Source organism: Homo sapiens, chromosome 10, assembly GCF_000001405.40.
Source record: "Homo sapiens chromosome 10, GRCh38.p14 Primary Assembly".
NCBI lineage: Eukaryota > Metazoa > Chordata > Mammalia > Primates > Hominidae > Homo > Homo sapiens.
In genome coordinates, this window is record NC_000010.11 from 91428212 (window position 1) to 91448737 (window position 20526).

The window sequence follows — 20526 nt, forward strand, 5'->3', positions numbered from 1 at the left end:
CTCTGTTCCGTTCCATTGATCTATATCTCTGTTTTGGTACCAGTACCATGCTGTTTTGGTTACTGTAGCCTTGTAGTATAGTTTGAAGTCAGGTAGCGTGATGCCTCCAGCTTTGTTCTTTTGGCTTAGGATTGACTTGGCGATGCGGGCTCTTTTTTGGTTCCATATGAACTTTAAAGTAGTTTTTTCCAGTTCTGTGAAGAAAGTCATTGGTAGCTTGATGGTGATGGCATTGAATCTATAAATTACCTTGGGCAGTATGGCCATTTTCACAATATTGATTCTTCCTACCCATGAGCATGGAATGTTCTTCCATTTGTTTATATCCTCTTTTATTTCATTGAGCAGTGGTTTGTAGTTCTCCTTGAAGAGTTCCTTCACATCCCTTGTAAGTTGGATTCCTAAGTATTTTATTCTCTTTGAAGCAATTGTGAATGGGAGTTCACTCATGATTTGGCTCTCTGTTTGTCTGTTATTGGTGTATAAGAATGCTTGTGATTTTTGTACATTGATTTTGTATCCTGAGACTTTGCTGAAGTTGCTTATCAGCTTAAGGAGATTTTGGGCTGAGACAATAGGGTTTTCTAGATATACAATCATGTCATCTGCAAACAGGGACAATTCGACTTCCTCTTTTCCTAATTGAATACCCTTTATGTCCTTCTCCTGTCTAATTGCCCTGGCCAGAACTTCCAACACTATGTTGAATCGGAGTGGTGAGAGAGGGCATCCCTGTCTTGTGCCAGTTTTCAAAGGGAATGCTTCCAGTTTTTGCCCATTCAGTGTGATATTGGCTGTGGGTTTGTCATAGATAGCTCTTATTATTTTGAAATGTGTCCCATCAATACCTAATTTATTGAGAGTTTTTAGCATGAAGGGTTGTTGAATTTTGTCAAAGGCCTTTTCTGCATCTATTGAGAAAATCATGTGGTTTTTGTCTTTGGTTCTGTTTATATGCTGGATTACATTTATTGATTTGCATATATTGAACCAGCCTTGCATCCCAGGGATGAAGCCCACTTGATCATGGTGGAGAAGCTTTTTGATGTGCTGCTGGATTCGGTGTGCCAGTATTTTATTGAGGATTTTTGCATCAATGTTCATCAAGGATATTGGTCTAAAATTCTCCTTTTTGGTTGTGTCTCTGCCCGGCTTTGGTATCAGGATGATGCTGGCCTCATAAAATGAGTTAGGGAGGATTCCCTCTTTTTCTATTCATTGGAATAGTTTCAGAAGGAATGGTACCAGTTCCTCCTTGTACCTCTGGTAGAATTTGGCTGTGAATCCATCTGGTCCTGGACTCTTTTTGGTTGGTAAGCTATTGATTATTGCCACAATTTCAGATCCTGTTATTGGCCTATTCAGAGATTCAAATTCTTCCTGGTTTAGTCTTGGCAGAGTGTATGTGTCGAGGAATTTATCCATTTCTTCTAGATTTTCTAGTTTATTTGCGTAGAGGTGTTTGTAGTATTCTCTGATGGTAGTTTGTATTTCTGTGGGATCAGTGGTGATATCCCCTTTATCATTTTTTATTGCATCTATTTGATTCTTCTCTCCTTTTTTCTTTATTAGTCTTGCTAGCGGTCTATCAATTTTGTTGATCCTTTCAAAAAACCAGCTCCTGGATTCATTAATTTTTTGAAGGTTTTTTTGTGTCTCTATTTCCTTCAGTTCTGCTCTGATTTTAGTTATTTCTTGCCTTCTGCTAGCTTTTGAATGTGTTTGCTCTTGTTTTTCTAGTTCTTTTAACTGTGATGTTAGGGTGTCAATTTTGGATCTTTCCTGCTTTCTCTTGTGGGCATTTAGTGCTATAAATTTCCCTCTACACACTGCTTTGAATGTGTCCCAGAGATTCTGGTATGTTGTATCTTTGTTCTTGTTGGTTTCAAAGAACATCTTTATTTCTGCCTTCATTTCGTTATGTACCCAGTAGTCATTCAGGAGTAGGTTGTTCAGTTTCCATGTAGTTGAGCAGTTTTGAGTGAGTTTCTTAATCCTGAGTTCTAGTTTGATTGCACTGTGGTCTGAGAGACAGTTTGTTATAATTTCTGTTCTTTTACATTTGCTGAGGAGAGCTTTACTTCCAAGTATGTGGTCAATTTTGGAATAGGTGTGGTGTGGTGCTGAAAAAAATGTCTATTCTGTTGATTTGGGGTGGAGTGTTCTGTAGATGTCTATTAGGTCCGCTTGGTGCAGAGCTGAGTTCAATTCCTGGGTATCCTTGTTAACTTTCTGTTTCGTTGATCTGTCTAATGTTGACAGTGGGGTGTTAAAGTCTCCCATTATTAATGTGTGGGAGTCTAAGTCTCTTTGTAGGTCACTCAGGACTTGTTTTATGAATCTGGGTGCTCCTGTGTTGGGTGCATATATATTTAGGATAGTTAGCTCTTCTTGTTGAATTGATCCCTTTACCATTATGTAATGGCCTTCTTTGTCTCTTTTGATCTTTTTTGGTTTAAAGTCTGTTTTATCAGAGACTAGGATTGCAACCTCTGCCTTTTTTTGTTTTCCATTTGCTTGGTAGATCTTCCTCCCTCCTTTTATTTTGAGCCCATGTCTGTCTCTGCATGTGCGATGGGTTTCCTGAATACAGTACACTGATGGGTCTTGACTCTTTATCCAGTTTGCCAGTCTGTGTGTTTTAATTGGAGCATTTAGTCTATTTACATTTAAAGTTAATATCATTATGTGTGAATTTGATCCTGTCATTATGATGTTAGCTGGTTATTTTGCTCGTTAGTTGATGCAGTTTCTTCCTAGTCTCGATGGTCTTTACATTTTGGCATGATTTTGCAGCGGCTGGTACAGGTTGTGCCTTTCCATGTTTAGTGCTTCCTTCAGGAGCTCTTTTAGGGCAGGCCTGGTGGTGACAAAATCCCTCAGCATTTGCTTGTCTGTAAAGTATTTTATTTCTCCTTCACTTAGGAAGCTTAGTTTGGCTGGATATGAAATTCTGGGTTGAAAATTCTTTTCTTTAAGAATGTTGAATATTGGCCACCACTCTCTTCTGGCTTGTAGAGTTTCTGCCGAGAGATCTGCTGTTAGTCTGATGGGCTTCCCTTTGTGGGTAACCCAACCTTTCTCTCTGGCTTCCCTTAACATTTTTTCCTTCATTTCAAGTTTGGTGAATCTGACAATTATGTGTTTTGGAGTTGCTCTTCTCAAGGAGTATCTTTGTGGAGTTCTCTGTATTTCCTGAATCTGAATGTTGGCCTGCCTTGCTAGATTGGGGAAGTTCTCCTGGATAATATCCTGCAGAGTGTTTTCCAACTTGGTTCCATTCTCCCCGTCACTTTCAGGTACACCAATCAGACGCAGATTTGGTTTGTTCACATCGTCCCATATTTCTTGGAGGCTTTGTTCATTTCTTTTTATTCTTTTTTCTCTAAACTTCCCTTCTCACTTCATTTCATTCATTTCATCTTCCATCACTGATACCCTTTCTTCCAGTTGATCGCATCGGCTCCTGAGGCTTCTGCATTCTTCACGTGGTTCTCGAGCCTTGGCTTTCAGCTCCATCAGCTCCTTTAGGCACTTCTGTGTATTGCTTATTCTAGTTATATATTCTTCTAAAATTTTTTCAAAGTTTTCAACTTCTTTGCCTTTGGTTTGAATTTCCTCCTGTAGCTCGGAGTAGTTTGATTGTCTGAAGCCTTCTTCTCTCAACTCTTCAAAGTCATTCTCCGTCCAGCTTTGTTCCATTACTGGTGAGGAACTGCGAAGTTGGGGTATTTGCATAAATGACTCTGACTCGATGAGTAGACCTTTTAGCAGACTTCCTTTATCTTATTAGAACTCCTGGTACTGAATTTTCCTAGCTGTTCTATCTGGATGCCACCTGAATTCAGGTGTGGCATGGAGTTTATTTGTTAAGGGCACTGCAGAGTAATTCTTTTATTGAATAGAAAGTTAGGCTACATCTTCCAAATGTAAGCATGTTTATAGTTTCTTGATGTTTTGGGAAGCCTCTCTTACTTGCCAATAAGATTGTTTTTTCAAAGATGCCTCATTCTTGGCAGTTATTATAATTTTCCTCCCTCTTCTCTGGTAGTAGGACCTATGCTGGGTATTCTCTAACAGCTTGTTTGCCCGTCTGATCTTCAAGTGATATTAGGGAAACTGCAAAAACCCAGCGTGGGTTCACCTAACAGCTGAGGAATGCCTTTCCTCCCTGTGGATCACATGACTAGGTATGCCTGTCAAATTGACTGTCCTTTTAAAAATAAGTGAGAAGTGTAGGAGTTTTACCTACTGTAACAGCTGCTAGTGATGATATCTCTTCAGAGAAACAACCTGGATGATAAATGATAGAGGAGAGGAGGTTAGCACTACATCCTCCCTTACTCTCTTGTGTCTTCCTTTCTAAAGTTATGATGCCCCTTTCACACTTAATTGAAACATTTTTAAGTAGCACAGAATATCTTTAAAAGAAATGAAGCAATTCTTCCCCAAACTTTAAAAAAAAAAATCTTTCCAGCCTAGGTAGTTCAGAAAAGAGTAGCTATGAACTCTGACATTTACCTTGAGAGCAAGCTCATAGCCAGCTCAGGCCATTTCATGAGTTTAGTAGAACCTTGATATGACATAATGAATTCTGTAGTTTTTACACCCCCTAGAGAAAAGCATACTGTGATCTTTGTCACCCTGAAATAGCCAGGGAAGAACAAGTGGTCTTCAGCTGAAATCGCAATTGGATCTGTGTGTGAGTCCTGTGATCTTCACAGGTCAAGTACTCCAGAGTTTTACATTTTCTCTAAGAGCAACTTGAGGGGCAGGTGTTAGAAGAAGCATAGCACAGGGCTTGCTATTTGTGGAAAGCAAAGGACTTGCCACGTAAGGATTCCTACCTTAGAAGAAGTATTTTCAAGGCCCAAATAACTCCATCTACAGGTTTCCTTAAAGAATGAACTGATTTTAGACTAAATCTCTAAGATCTTTCCCTAGGTCAGAGTGGGTAACTTGGATTTGACTTTTCTTAACTGTTCCTATGGGAAGAGTTATTTTTTCTTTTTTATATTAAAGATAACTTTTTATTGAATAGGTAACACATCTATTTGTTTCAAAAGTCAAAACTATAAAAATAAATATGTTTCAGACATCTCACTTTCACTCTCTTTTCTGTTATCTCTTGTATTCTTTCCTGTGGTTTTTTAGGCAAATGCAAGCAAATATAAATAAATATTCTCATTTTCCACCTTTGGTGGGTAACTATGTATGCATTGTCCAGAACCTTGCTTTTTGTCCAGTTCATGTATTCTAGATATCTTTCTGTATCAGTACATAGAAAACTTCTTTATTATTTTTTACAAATATATTCCATTGTATTGGATGTACATTTGTATTGAAGTAAGTAAACTGGATTTATTTACTCAGATTCCTATTAAAATAAATGATTTGTGTTCATTATTTTGTTATTGCAGACAATGCCACAATGAATGACTCTGTACATATGTCGCTTTGTTCATCTGCAGGTTTATCTATAGGATATTTCTAGATGTGGGGTTGTTGGGCCCAGGAGTAAATGCATGTACAGTCACCTTGAGTTTGAATCCATCTGTTTGTTTCCAGGACCTAGCATTCGTGGTGCATGTAGTCTATACTTAGTTAATAATTTACTGAATAAGGTAATGAATGGGAGGCACTTTTTCTGGGTTTCTGGCATGTTTACCCTGTTGGAATGTCAAACCCATCTCAAGGCTGTAATAAATTCTGTAAGGTATGTCCAGATTAAGACATCTGTTTCACTAAAGATAACTTTATAGAGAGGGGACTTTCAAATATTTCTATAACTAGGCTCATAAAAGAACATTTCACCCTTTCTTTTATTACAGTTTTATAAACACACATCATTGAACTTAGTAAAAAGTACATCTCTAAAATCTAATGAATGTATTTGCTTTATTTGGCTCTGATGGCTAAAGTCCTGTGAGTCAGACTTTTTTTTTCCTGTCTTTCTTCCTTTCTCTCTCCCACCTTCAATTTTATTTTTTGCCAAATGTTCAGAAAAGTCATCCTATAGACAATGATGTAAAAACCACTTGTTATGACTAATCCATTCTGGTCTTTCCTTGTTTCAGCTGCCTGCCACTACTGAAGCAGTCATAAGCAGTACCAAAGTACTAAACTGATACAGGGATCCTTCAACTTGTAGCTCATTTATTATTACCTGGCTGGTACTCACACGTTGTCAGTTAAGAACTGAGTCTTTGACTCAACTACTACCTGTAACCACCAATGTGACCTTAAACAGATAACTTAGCCCTCTTGTTTTTTATTTTGTCAAAACATTTATAGAATGAGGAAATTGGGCATCTTGAGTCGTAAAGTGCCATTTTACACCTACGTTTTATTATTTAAATGGTTAATTTTCCACTATATTGATTTTGCTTGATGCTTGTTGAATTTTTTTTGTTCTTCTTTTTTTGGGACATCTTATAGTTTAATGGCTCCTACACCCATGTGAATTTAGTTTTCCATTTTATTATTTGTTTTTATACATAGTATAAGGTTTGGCATTGTTCAATAGTGGGAATAACATGAGTTTTGTAGCTTCTCAGGCTGGGTTTGAATTCTAGCTCCGTAACATACAAACTGTACAATCCTAGAAAATTTATTTAACCTCTCTGTGCTTATTTTCTCATCTGTAAAACTGGGTGATAAAGAAGCTACCTTATGAAGTTGTAAAGATATGTATGAAAGCATTTAAAAAGTAATTCTATATCTTAGGAAGTTCAGTACATGTTATGACAATGTATGTAGATGAGCAGTTTAGTTGTGGAGGAAGGTATCATGGGGCAGGAACATTACTCTTAGCAACTGATGGCACACATTTTAAAAATCCAAAATGTGTTATACATGCAGAAGACTATAATCAACATTTTATACATTTTAATAATAAAATTAAAACCCAAGAACTCAGCAATCAAGAGCACTACTGGCACTATAAAAGCCCCAGGGAACCCACCCCAATCACTTTGCCCTACCCTTCTGTCCAGAGGTTAACTATTGTTCCCTTTTTTATAGTTCCCTCTGTGTGAATGAGTCCTGAGAAGCAAAGGACACCTCTTGGGACATGTGGCAGAGCTGCAGTTGAGACTATTAGATGTCTGTCAGAAAGACTCCTCCAACTGTCAAGAGTACTATAGGTTCAATCTGTGAGGTGACCTGAGTGTCCTCAGCTGAGTCAGCAGAGAAAGAGGAGAGCAGGGACTTCATGACCCCGCTGGCAAGCCAGGAATAAGAAGTAGGCTCATCTGTACATTCTGTCTTCAGTTAAAAAAGAGTACAAAGGCAGTCAGGGTCTTGGTGATGACAAGTATCAACATTGCTAAATTTCAGGCCACTCAGTTCCAGTCTGTATGGAGTGCAGCTGCCACCTCAGGCCGCTGTGATTCCTGTTCCTTTGAATCAGATGTCTCTCTACCTCTGTCTCTGTCTCTCTCGAAGCTTGTTGAGCCATCTCTTATCTTGGAAGTTTTGAAATTGCACAGTGTTGTGCCTTGGTGTGAGGTTTGTATTCATCCCTTGTGCTATATACTCGGTCTAGCAGCTTCATGTCCTTAAATTCCAGAAAATTTTCTTGAATTATTTTGTTGATGATTTTCTCTCCTCTGTATTTTCTATCCTTTCTTTCTGGATCTCCTGTTATTCAAAAGCCAGACTTTCTGGACTCCTAATTTTCTTTTTTACTTGTATTTCTCTTCTCTTTTGCTTTATGATTTAGGGAATATTCTCAAAACTCTTCTATTGAGTATCTTACTTCTGCTGTTATGCCTTTAATTGTGAAGAATTATTTCCCCTCTGAATCTTTCTTTTTTATAGTACCCTTTTATTTCATGGTTATACTATCTTTTATTCCTCTGAGAAAGCTAGTAATAAGTTTAAAAATTTTTTTCTTCTCCCTGCATGGTGTCTGATTCTTCCACGTTGCTTTTGTCTGTTTGTTTTGGTCTCTGTCCTCCATATTGGAGGCTGTCATCAGAAGTTTGGTAGTCTTTGATTTTCTGCTCATGGTTAATGAGGGAACCAAGATGGATGATTGGAAGGTGAGGCATAAATAAGATTTGTTAACCATAAGCTTTATTATGAGGCGATTTGGGTAGCCTGTTGATTGAGGAACCCTGATGTCCGTGTCTTTAGTTATTTCTTCTTAGCCTAATCAGATTCCCCACGAAAGTGTCTTCCAGTCTTCTGTCTGAGGGAGGGGCAGGGTAAGTATTCTGTTTGTGGGGAGAAGGAGATTGGGAGTCTCTCTTGATTGGTCAATCACTTAGTATTCAGTAATTAGTTGTTTACTGCCACTATGTCTTGGTATAGTTTTTATAACCTCATCTGTGTCTGGCATTCCCTAGTCCAAAGCACCTCTTTTTTACCCTCTCCAAATAATAGGAATTTCCAGACTTTTGCTTGAGTAGGGATGGAGGAGGGATAGTCATGTAGTGGCAAGGAAGAGATCTAGGGAGCTAACTTTTTATTCAGTTTTTACCATAGTTCTTATTTTTGCCTTCCCCGTTATATTCCCAGTTCCTGATTCTGTGCCCTTTAAGAATTCTGCAGTATAAATCAGTTACTTTGTGATTTCCTTATTGGGGCTTGGTATTTAGCTGTCTCAGGTCTACTAAACCAGTTTTCACTGACATCTCTGCTTCTTTTTACCTTTGAGGCTATGGCTATTTCACCTGTTCTGTTTGTCCTTATAGACTTATATCTTTAAAACAACAACAGAACCTTTTACTGTAGTTAAAGTGGAATTTCGGGAGGAATTAAAATATGCTCAGTCTGACATCTTAACCTGAAAAACCTCCCTTTGTTTCTTTAACAGATAAGGAGTATGAGATTCTGAGAGATTACGTGATTTCTGTTTATACATGTTCCAGTATCTATTGAATATATAATAATAAACCTCCCCTAAACTTAGTGGCTTAAAATACCAGCAATGTTTATTTTATTCACAAATATGTAATTTGTGTGGAGATCAGTGGGGAAAGCTCATCTTGGTTCTCCTGAGCATTAGCTGAGGGGGCTTGAATACTGAGAGCTGGAATCACCTGAAGGCTTGATCATTCCCATGCCTGATGATTGATGCTGGTTGTAGGCTTGGACCTTAGATGAAACACCTACATATGGCCTTTTTCAGGTGGCTCTTGGCATCCTCACAGCATGGTGACGGAATTCCAAAGACAAACATCTCAAAAGAGAGAGCCAAGCACAAATGTTATTGCCTTTTAATAACCTACTCATGCAGCTTCACTTCTGCCACTTTTGTTGATTAGCAAGGAGTCATTAAGCCTGGCTTATATTCAAAGGGAGGCGAATTAGACTCCATCCTTTGTTGGGGGGAGTATAAAATAATGTACAGACATAATGTAGATCCAGAAAAAGAAGACAAGTTTGGTTGGATGGTTGTTCTTTTTTTTTTTTTTTTTTTGGTTGTTTTGTTTTTTTTGTTGTTTTCAGATATTTTCTTATACTGTGTTTAAGGTAGAAATTCATAATTAAAAATCAGTTTTTTATAATAGATGACATATACATTGTAAGTTTCCATACTTCCTGAATTTCTCTATTACAGGCCGTTATCTAGGTCACACTATTAGAGAATTTTAAAACTTTTTGGTAGGTTTATGAGTCTTTTCCATTTTGTTCTTGAATAGTTGTAGAGATGAAAGTGATCTAAGAAATGATATAAACTAGTGGTTTTAAACTTATTTTTGTTCTTGTTTTTGATTGTGACAAAACACTTTTTTTAAAAAAACAATTTATTAGAGCATAATTATATTAAGCAGAGTTGCTGTGAGTAAACCTATTCATTCAGCACCATTCCCCTCAGGTAGACCTTGAAGTTCTTTTTTGAAACCTTAGGAACAACTGACTTAAGCCATCTTTTTTTTTTTCTTTAAGTTCTGGGATACATGTGCAGAACGTGCAAGTTTGTTTCATAGGTATACACGTGCAATGGTGGTTGCCTGCACCCATCAACCCGTCATCTACATTAAGTATTTCTCCTAATGCTATCCCTTCCCTAGTCCCCCACTCACTGACAGGTCCTGGTGTGTGATGTTCCCCTTTCTGTGTCCATGTGTTCTCATTGTTCAACTGCCACTTACGAGTGAGAACATGCAGTGTTTGGTTTTCTATTCCTATGTTAGTTTGCTGAGAATGATGGTTTCCAGCTTCATCCATGCCCTGCAAAGGACATGAACTCATCCCTCTTTATGGCTGCATAGTATTCCATGGTGCATATGTGCCATATTTTCTTTATCCAGTCCATCATTGATGGGCATTTGGGTTGGTTCCCAGTCTTTGCTATTGCGAACAGTGCTGTAATAAACATGTGTGTGTGTCTTGATAGTAGAATGATTTATCTTCCTTTGGGTATATACCCATTAATGGGATTGCTGGGTCACATGGTATTTCTGGTTGTAGATCCTTGAGGAATCGCCACACTGTCTTCCACAATGGTTTAACTAATTTACACTCCCACCAACAGTGTAAAAGCGTTCCTGTTTCTCCACATCCTCTCCAGCATTTGTTGTTTCCTGACTTTTTACTGATCGCCATTCTAACTGGCATGAGATGGTATCTCATTGTGGTTTTGATTTGCATTTCTCTAATGACGAGTGATGATGAGCTTTTTTTCATATGTTTGTTGGCTACATAAATGTCTTCTTTTAAGAGGTGTCTGTTCATATCCTTTGCCCACTTTTTGATGGAGTAGGTTGATTTTTCTTGCAAATTTGTTGAAGTTCCTTGTAGATTTTGGATATTAGCCCTTTGTCAGATGGATAGATTGCAAACATTTTCTCCATTCTGTAGGTTGCCTCTTCACTCTGATGATAGTTTCTTTTGCTGTGCAGGAGCTGTTTAGTTTAATTAGATGCCATTTGTCAATTTTGGCTTTTGTTACCATTGCTTTTGATGTTTTAGTCATCAAGTCTGTGCCCACGCCTATGTCCTGAATGGTATTGCCTAGGTTTTCTTCTAGGGTTTTTATGGTTTTAGGTTTAATCCTTAAGTCTTTAATTCATCTTGAGTTAATTTTTGTATGAGGTGTAAGGAAGGATTCCAGTTTCAGTTTTCTGCATATGGCTAGCCAGTTTTCCCAGCACCATTTATTAAATAGGGAATCCTTTCCCCATTGATTGTTTTTGTCAGATTTGTCAAAGATCAGATTATTGTAGATGTGTGGCATTATTTCTGAGACCTTTATCCGGTTCCATTGGTCTATATATATATATCTGTTTTGGTACCAGTATCATGCTGTTTTGGTTACTGTAGCCTTGTAGTATAGTTTGCAGTCAGGTAGTGTGATGTCTCCAGCTTTGTTCTTTTTGCTTAGGATTGTCTTGGCTATACAGGCTCTTTTTGGTTCCACATGAAACGTAAAGTAGTTTTTTCTAATTCTGTGAAGAAAGTCAATGGTAGCTTGATGGGGATAGCATTGAATCTATAAATTACTTTGGGCAGTATGGCCATTTTCACAATATTGATTCTTCCTATCCATGAGGATGGAATGTTTTTCCCTTTGTTTGTGTCCTCTCTTCTTTCCTTGAGCAGTGGTTTGTAGTTCTCCTTGAAGAGGTCCTTCACATCCTTTGTAAGTTGTATTGCTAGGTATTTTATTCTCTTTGTAGCAGTTATGAATGGGAGTTCACTGATGATTTGGCTCTCTGTTTGTCTATATTTGGTGTATAGGAATGCTTGTGATTTTTGCACACTGATTTTGTATCCTGAGACTTTGCTGAAGTTGCATATCAGCTTAAGGAGATTCTGGGCTGAGATGATGGGGTTTTCCAAATATATAATCATGTCATCTGCAAACAGAGACAATTTGACTTCCTCTCTTCCTATTTAAATGCCCTTTCTTTCTCTTGCCTGACTGCCCTGGCCAAAATTTCCAATAATATGTTGAATAAGAGTAGTGAGAGAGAGCATCCTTGTCTTGTGTCAGTTTTAAAAGGGAATGCTTCCAGCTTTTGCCCATTCAGTATGATATTAGCTGCGGCTTTGTCATAAATAGCTCTTATTAAGAGAAACATCCCATCAATACCTAGTTTATTGAGAGTTTTTAGCATGAATGGGGTGTTGAATTTTATTGAAGGACTTTTCGGTAGTTATTGAGAAAATTGTGTGGTTTTTGTCATCGGTTCTTTTTAAGTGATAGGTTACATTTATTGACTTGTGTATGTTCAACTAGCCCTGCATTCCAGGGATGAAGCCAACTTGATTGTGGTGGATAAGCTTTTTGATGTGCTGCTACATTTGGTTTGCCAGTATTTTACTGAGGATTTTCATATCCATGTTCATCAGGGATATTGGCCTGAAATTTTCTTTTTTTGTTGTGTCTCCGCCAGGTTTTGGTATCAGGATGATGCTGACCTCATAAAGTGAGTTAGGGAGGAGTTCCTCTTTTTCTGTTGTTTAGAATAGTTTCAGGTGGAATGGTAACAGCTCCTCTTTGTATCTCTGGTAGAATTCACCTGTCAATCTGTCTGGTCCTGGGCTTTTTTTGGTTGGTAGGCTATTAATTACTGCCTCCATTTCAGAACTTGTTATTGGTCTATTCAGAGATTCGACTTCTTCCTGGTTTAGTCTTGGGAGTGTGTATGTGTCCAGGAATTTATCCATTTCTTCTAGATTTTCTAGTTTATTTGCATAGAGGTGTTCATAGTATTCTCTGATGGTAGTTTGTATTTCTGTGGGATCAGTGGTGATATCCCCTTTATCGTTTTTTATTGTGTCTATTTGATTCTTCTCTCTTTTCTTCTTTATTCGTCTGGCTAGTGGTCTATCTAGTTTGTTAACCTTTACAAAAAACCAGCTCCTGGACTCATTGATATTTTTGAAGGGTTTTTCATGTCTCTATCTCCTTCAGTTCTGCTCTAAACTTAGTTATTTGTCTTCTGCTAGCTTTTGAACTTGTTTGCTCTTGCTTCCCTAGTTCTTTTAATTATGATGTTAGGGTGTCAATCTTAGATCTTTCCCACTTTCTCCTGTGGGCATTTGGTGCTATAAATTTCCCTCTGAACACTGCTTTAGCTGTGTCCCAGAGATTCTGGTACGTTGTGTCTTTGTTCTCGTTGGTTTCAAATAACTTACTTATTTCTGCCTTAATTTCGTTAGGTACCCAGTAGTCATTCAGGAGCAGGTTGTTCAGTTTCCATGTAGTTGTGCGAGTTTCTGAATCCTGAGTTCTAATTTGATTGCACTGTGGTCTGAGAGACTGTTTATTATGATTTCCATTCTTTTGCATTTGCTGAGGAGTGTTTTACTTCCAATTATGTGGTCAATTTTAGAATAAGTGCAGTGTGGTGCTGAGAAGAATTTATATTCTTTTGATTTGGGGTGGAGAGTTCTGTAGATGTCTATTAGGTCTGCTTGGTCCAGAGTTGAGTTCAGGTCCTGAATATCCTTGTTAATTTTCTGCCTTGTTGATCTAATATTGACAGTGTGATGTTAAAGTCTCCCACTATCATTGTGTGGGAGTCTAAGTCTCTTTGTAGGTCTCTAAGAATTGCTTTATGACTCTGGGTACTCCTGTATTGGGTGCATATGTATTTAGGATAGTTAATTCTTCTTGTTGCATTGATCCCTTTACCATTATGTAATGCCCTTCGTCTTTTTGGATCTTTGTTGGTTTAAAGTCTGTTTCATCAGAGACTAGGATTGCAACCCTTGCTTTTTTTTTTTTTTTTTTTTTCTTTTTTTTTTGCTTTCCATTTGTGTGGGAAATATTCCTCCATCCCTTTATTTTAGCCTATGTGTGTCTTTGCACATGAGATGGGTCTCCTGAATACAGCACACCAATGGGTCTTGACTCTTTTTCCAATTTGCTAGTGTGTGTCTTTCAACTGGGGCATTTAGCCCATTTACATTTAAGGTTAATATTGTTATGTGTGAATTTGATCGTGTCATTATGATGCTAGCTGTTTATTTTGCCCATTGGTTGATGCAGTTTCTTCATAGTGTCAATGGTCTTTACAATTTGGTATGTTTTTGCAGTGGCTGGTACCAGTTTTCCTTTCCATATTTAGTGCTTCCTTCAGGAGCTCTTGTAAGGCAGGCCTGGTGGTGACAGAATCTCTCAGCATTTGCTTGTCTGTAAAGGATTTTATTTGTCCTTTGCTTAGGAAGCTTAGTTTGGCTGGATATGAAATTCTGGGCTGAAAATTCTTTTCTTTAAGAATGTTGAATATTGGCCCCCACTCTCTTCTGGCTTGTAGGGTTTCTGCAGAGAGATATGCTGTTAGTCTGATGGGCTTCCCTTTGGGGGTAACCTGACCTTTCTCTCTGGCTGCCCTTAACATTTTTTGCTTCATTTCAACCTTGGTGAACCTGACAATTATGTGTCTTGGGGTAGCTCTTCTCAAGGAGTATCTTTGTGGTGTTCTCTGTATTTCCTGAATTTGAATGTTGGCCTGTCTTGCTTAGGTTTGCGGAAGTTCTCCTGGATAATATCCTGAAGGGTGTTTTCCAACTTGGTTCCATTCCTCCCGTCACTTTCAGATACACCAAAAAAACGTAGGTTTGGTCTCTTCACATAGTCCCACATTTCTTGGAGGCTTTGTTCGTTCCTTTTCATTCCTTTTTCTCTAATCTTGTCTTCACACTTTATTTCATTATGTTGATCTTCAATCTCTGATATCCTTTCTTCTGCTTGATCAATTCAGCTATTGATACTTGTGTATGCTTCATGAAGTTCTCATGCTGTTTTTCAGGTCCATCAGGTCATTTATGTTCTTCTCTAAACTCGTTATTTTGGTTAGCAATTCCTCTAACCTTTTATCAAGGTTCACAGCTTCCTTGCCTTGGGTTAGAACGTGCTCCTTTAGCTCGGAAGAGTTTCTTATTACCCACCTTCTGAAGCCTACTTCTGTCAATTCGTCAAACTCATTCTCCATCCAGTTTAGTTCCCTTGCTAGTGAGGAGTTGTGATCCTTTGGAGGGGAAGAGGCGTTCTGGTTTTTGGAATTTTCAGCCTTTTTGCACTGGTTTTTCTTCATCTTCGTGGATTTATCTATGTTTGGTCTTTGAGGCTGGTGACCTTTGGATGGGGTTTTTGTGTGGACATCCTTTTTGTTGATGTTGATGCTATTCCTTTCTGTTTGTTAGTTTTCCTTCTAACAGTTAGAAGGAAAGGTCTGCTGGAGTTTGCTGGAGGTCCACTCCAGACCCTGTTTGCCTGGGTATGGCACAGCAGAGGCTGCAGAACAGCAAAGGTTGCTGCCTGTTCCTTCCTCTGGAAGCTTTGTCCCAGAGGGGCACCTGCCAGATGCCAGCTGGAGCTCCCCTGTATGTGGTGTTGGTCAACCCCTGCTGGGAGGTATCTCCCAGTCAGGACACATGGGTGTCAGGGACCCACTTGAGGAGGCAGTCTGTCCCTTAGCAGAGCTTGAGCGCTGTGCTGGGAGATCCTCCTGCTCTCTTCACAGCTGGCAGGCAGGAATGCTTAAGTCTGCTGAAGCTGCACAAACAGTCGCCCCTTCCCCCAGGAAGAATTTGTATTTCTAGATGTTCCCAGATGATGCTGATGTTGCTAGTCTGCACAAAATACTACGAAACACTCTTCCATGGTTTTAAATGAGAGAACAATGGTGCTGATGACACAGAAGAGTTTATTAAATCTACTTCAGTGTTACAATTTTATATCCTTTATTAAATATGGCAACATCCAATGTCTAGTAATTTCTACTGCAAACACTAATTGGACAGAGGTTCAATTTACAAATAAGTAAAATTAGGTATCTCCACAAATGGCTTCTTATAGATTATATTTGGTAATCTTTATGAAAGGGAAAGAAAAGGGCATCTCAGCAGCAGAAAATAAATAAATGATAGTCATCTCCTCTCTTCAACACCAGTCTTATTACTATTATTTTTTGTGGCTCCTATAGAGTTTTTCTTCCTCTTTACCAGGCTTACTTACCCTTTCTTATCCCTTCCCACACACTTTTTCCCAACCTGGCTATAAACACCTACAATTAAATACAAACAGATTCATTCAAATATAAATTAACTTATTCACACACAGAGCATATATACACAGTTTTATATCCACTCATTTTATTAATACCATGTTGAGGTGGAAGAGTGAAATTTGAATTAGTAAAAGAACTGGATTTTGGCAGAGCCTGAGAGTGGAGAGATTCTTACATAAGAGAAATAGTAATGCCAAGGCCAAGAGGATTATAGGGTAAGTTTAGAAACCAGAAGCCCAGATGGGATTTATTTTTAGTTGAAAAGGTAACTTAAACTGAAGAGTCATGCAGAATGTTAACACACTATGTTAATGGAACTTGAATTAGAAAGAAAGGCAGAATCCTTTGCTCAGATTAGTGAATGAAAACCAAACTACAGGATGCGACATTCAGCTATTAAGAAAAGAAAAATAACAGACTGCAGCTGTTCTCAAGTCCCTGAATATCAAGGCATTGTTTCCAGAGACAGGCTTTCTGCCTGTTCTCACAGATGATTCTTAAAATATAATTCAAAAAGAGAAAATCAATAACCATGGTGATGAGGGATTAATTAGACCTCAAACTGACATTATAAATAGAGGCAAATCTTTGTTCTATCATATGCAACTTTTTCTGCAATACAGAATATCATAATACAGTGAAAAAAGCCAAAATATATTTATCAGTGAAAATCTATCATTTAGGGTTCATTCAGCGAACTTATGAACACTGTGCTGAACTGATAAGCAGTAATCGTTTTCCCTTTCTTTTAATATACTGTTGCCAATTTTAGCTGGTTGCTTAGAAACATTAAGTAAAACACTAGAAGCCAATGTAAGAAGAATAAGGGCTGTGGTAGGGGTTGGCAGTATATTCAAAAATGTAAAGATCAGAATATAACTATGTGTAAGGGTGTGAGATTATCAGCCAAATTTTGCTAGCTCACTGTTTTCACAGACGTCACAACTCTCGTTGGAAACTTGGAAAATGCAGCTTTCTACAACTACACCCGACAAAACAAAGACTGACATTTTGAATTGGCCACATGATTAGGGGATTGATAACTGTTCCTGGCTAGCCAGCACAGATGGCAACAGCAGTATTGGAGGTAAAGAAGAGTCTATGAAGATTGGAGGTTCAGTAGGAAGAACCTGGGCTTCCCTTCCTTATCCCTCTGCCACTAGAGAGGAAATAGTGATATAAAAAAGTTTGCTGCTGGTTACACGCTCTTGCAAAATGCTGTGCCTTGAGTTTCAATATAAATAATTTTTAATTAAATAAGTAATAAGTAATGAAAAAGCAGTCTTAGAAGTATGGGACTGGGTCATATTGCTGGCTGGGTTGTGAAATTTTTAACTTTAGATAAGCAATTAAAGTCCCTGGGCCTCAGTTTAGACATTATACAATGAAAGAAGAGGGAGTGGCTGGCAAGTCAGCCGAATAGGAACAGCTCCGGTCTGCAGCTCCCAGTGAGATCAACGCAGAAGGCAGGTGATTTCTGCATTTCCAACTGAGGTACCCAGCTCATCTCACTGGGACTGGTTAGACAGTGGGTGCAGACTGTGGGGGGCAAGCTGAAGCAAGGTGAGGCTTTGCCACATCCGGGAAGCACAAGGGATCAGAGAAATCCCTCCCCTAGCCAAGGGAAGTCGTGAGAGACTGTGCCCTGAGGAACGGTGCACTCCGGCCCAGATACTACACTTTTTCCATGGTCTTTACAACCTACAGACAAGGAGATTCTCTTGGGTGCCTATGCCACCAGGGCCCTGGGATTCAAGCACAAAACTGGGTGGCCATTTGAGCAGACACCGAACTTGCTGCAGGAATTTTTTTTTTTATAACCCAGTGGCGCCTAGAACACCAGTGACAGACTGCCTCCTCAAGTGGGTCCCTGACACCCATGTGTCCTGACTGGGAGATACCTCCCAGCAGGGGTTGACCAACACCACATACAGGAGAGCTCCAGCTGGCATCTGGCAGGTGCCCCTCTGGGACAAAGCTTCCAGAGGAAGGAACAGGCAGCAACCTTTGCTGTTCTGCAGCCTCTGCTGTGCCATACCCAGGCAAACAGGGTCTGGAGTGGACCTCCAGCAAACTCCAGCAGACCTTTCCTTCTAACTGTTAGAAGGAAAACTAACAAACAGAAAGGAATAGCATCAACATCAACAAAAAGGATGTCCACACAAAAACCCCATCCAAAGGTCACCAGCCTCAAAGACCAAACATAGATAAATCCACGAAGATGAAGAAAAACCAGTGCAAAAAGGCTGAAAATTCCAAAAACCAGAACGCCTCTTCCCCTCCAAAGGATCACAACTCCTCACTAGCAAGGGAACTAAACTGGATGGAGAATGAGTTTGACGAATTGACAGAAGTAGGCTTCAGAAGGTGGGTAATAAGAAACTCTTCCGAGCTAAAGGAGCACGTTCTAACCCAAGGCAAGGAAGCTGTGAACCTTGATAAAAGGTTAGAGGAATTGCTAACCAAAATAACGAGTTTAGAGAAGAACATAAATGACCTGATGGACCTGAAAAACAGCATGAGAACTTCATGAAGCATACACAAGTATCAATAGCTGAATTGATCAAGCAGAAGAAAGGATATCAGAGATTGAAGATCAACATAATGAAATAAAGTGTGAAGACAAGATTAGAGAAAAAGGAATGAAAAGGAACGAACAAAGCCTCCAAGAAATGTGGGACTATGTGAAGAGACCAAACCTACGTTTTTTTGGTGTATCTGAAAGTGACGGGAGGAATGGAACCAAGTTGGAAAACACCCTTCAGGATATTATCCAGGAGAACTTCCGCAAACCTAAGCAAGACAGGCCAACATTCAAATTCAGGAAATACAGAGAACACCACAAAGATACTCCTTGAGAAGAGCTACCCCAAGACACATAATTGTCAGGTTCACCAAGGTTGAAATGAAGCAAAAAATGTTAAGGGCAGCCAGAGAGAAAGGTCAGGTTACCCCCAAAGGGAAGCCCATCAGACTAACAGCATATCTCTCTGCAGAAACCCTACAAGCCAGAAGAGAGTGGGGGCCAATATTCAACATTCTTAAAGAAAAGAATTTTCAGCCCAGAATTTCATATCCAGCCAAACTAAGCTTCCTAAGCAAAGGACAAATAAAATCCTTTACAGACAAGCAAATGCTGAGAGATTCTGTCACCACCAGGCCTGCCTTACAAGAGCTCCTGAAGGAAGCACTAAATATGGAAAGGAAAACTGGTACCAGCCACTGCAAAAACATACCAAATTGTAAAGACCATTGACACTATGAAGAAACTGCATCAACCAATGGGCAAAATAAACAGCTAGCATCATAATGACACGATCAAATTCACACATAACAATATTAACCTTAAATGTAAATGGGCTAAATGCCCCAGTTGAAAGACACACACTAGCAAATTGGAAAAAGAGTCAAGACCCATTGGTGTGCTGTATTCAGGAGACCCATCTCATGTGCAAAGACACACATAGGCTAAAATAAAGGGATGGAGGAATATTTCCCACACAAATGGAAAGCAAAAAAAAAAAGAAAAAAAAAGAAAAAAAAAAGCAAGGGTTGCAATCCTAGTCTCTGATGAAACAGACTTTAAACCAACAAAGATCCAAAAAGACGAAGGGCATTACATAATGGTAAAGGGATCAATGCAACAAGAAGAATTAACTATCCTAAATACATATGCACCCAATACAGGAGTACCCAGAGTCATAAAGCAATTCTTAGAGACCTACAAAGAGACTTAGACTCCCACACAATGATAGTGGGAGACTTTAACATCACACTGTCAATATTAGATCAACAAGGCAGAAAATTAACAAGGATATTCAGGACCTGAACTCAACTCTGGACCAAGCAGACCTAATAGACATCTACAGAACTCTCCACCCCAAATCAAAAGAATATAAATTCTTCTCAGCACCACACTGCACTTATTCTAAAATTGACCACATAATTGGAAGTAAAACACTCCTCAGCAAATGCAAAAGAATGGAAATCATAATAAACAGTCTCTCAGACCACAGTGCAATCAAATTAGAACTCAGGATTCAGAAACTCGCACAACTACATGGAAACTGAACAACCTGCTCCTGAATGACTACTGGGTACCTAACGAAATTAAGGCAGAAATAAGTAAGTTATTTGAAACCAACGAGAACAAAGACACAACGTACCAGAATCTCTGGGACACAGCTAAAGCAGTGTTCAGAGGGAAATTTATAGCACCAAATGCCCACAGGAGAAAGTGGGAAAGATCTAAGATTGACACCCTAACATCATAATTAAAAGAACTAGGGAAGCAAGAGCAAACAAGTTCAAAAGCTAGCAGAAGACAAATAACTAAGTTTAGAGCAGAACTGAAGGAGATAGAGACATGAAAAACCCTTCAAAAATATCAATGAGTCCAGGAGCTGGTTTTTTGTAAAGGTTAACAAACTAGATAGACCACTAGCCAGACGAATAAAGAAGAAAAGAGAGAAGAATCAAATAGACACAATAAAAAACGATAAAGGGGATATCACCACTGATCCCACAGAAATACAAACTACCATCAGAGAAT

At 38.8% G+C, this 20526-nt stretch overlaps 1 protein-coding gene and 1 long non-coding RNA gene across 15 annotated transcripts in view, besides 1 other annotated feature; one reads left to right on the forward strand and one right to left on the reverse strand.

Moving 5' to 3' along the window:
• The window catches only part of HECTD2-AS1 (HECTD2 antisense RNA 1), a 304499-nt gene that overhangs the window by 121250 nt on the left and 162723 nt on the right, over positions 1-20526 (reverse strand). The window lies entirely within an intron of this gene.
• Positions 1-20526, forward strand: part of HECTD2 (HECT domain E3 ubiquitin protein ligase 2) — a 105586-nt gene that overhangs the window by 18977 nt on the left and 66083 nt on the right. The gene's annotated exons all lie outside the window — the stretch shown is intronic.
• Positions 7108-7308: a silencer, noted in NCBI's record as "peak1048 fragment used in MPRA reporter construct". NCBI's record gives its function as "represses an SCP1 promoter by STARR-seq MPRAs in K562 erythroleukemia cells {active_cell/tissue: K562}" and the evidence as "EXISTENCE:reporter gene assay evidence [ECO:0000049][PMID:32103011]".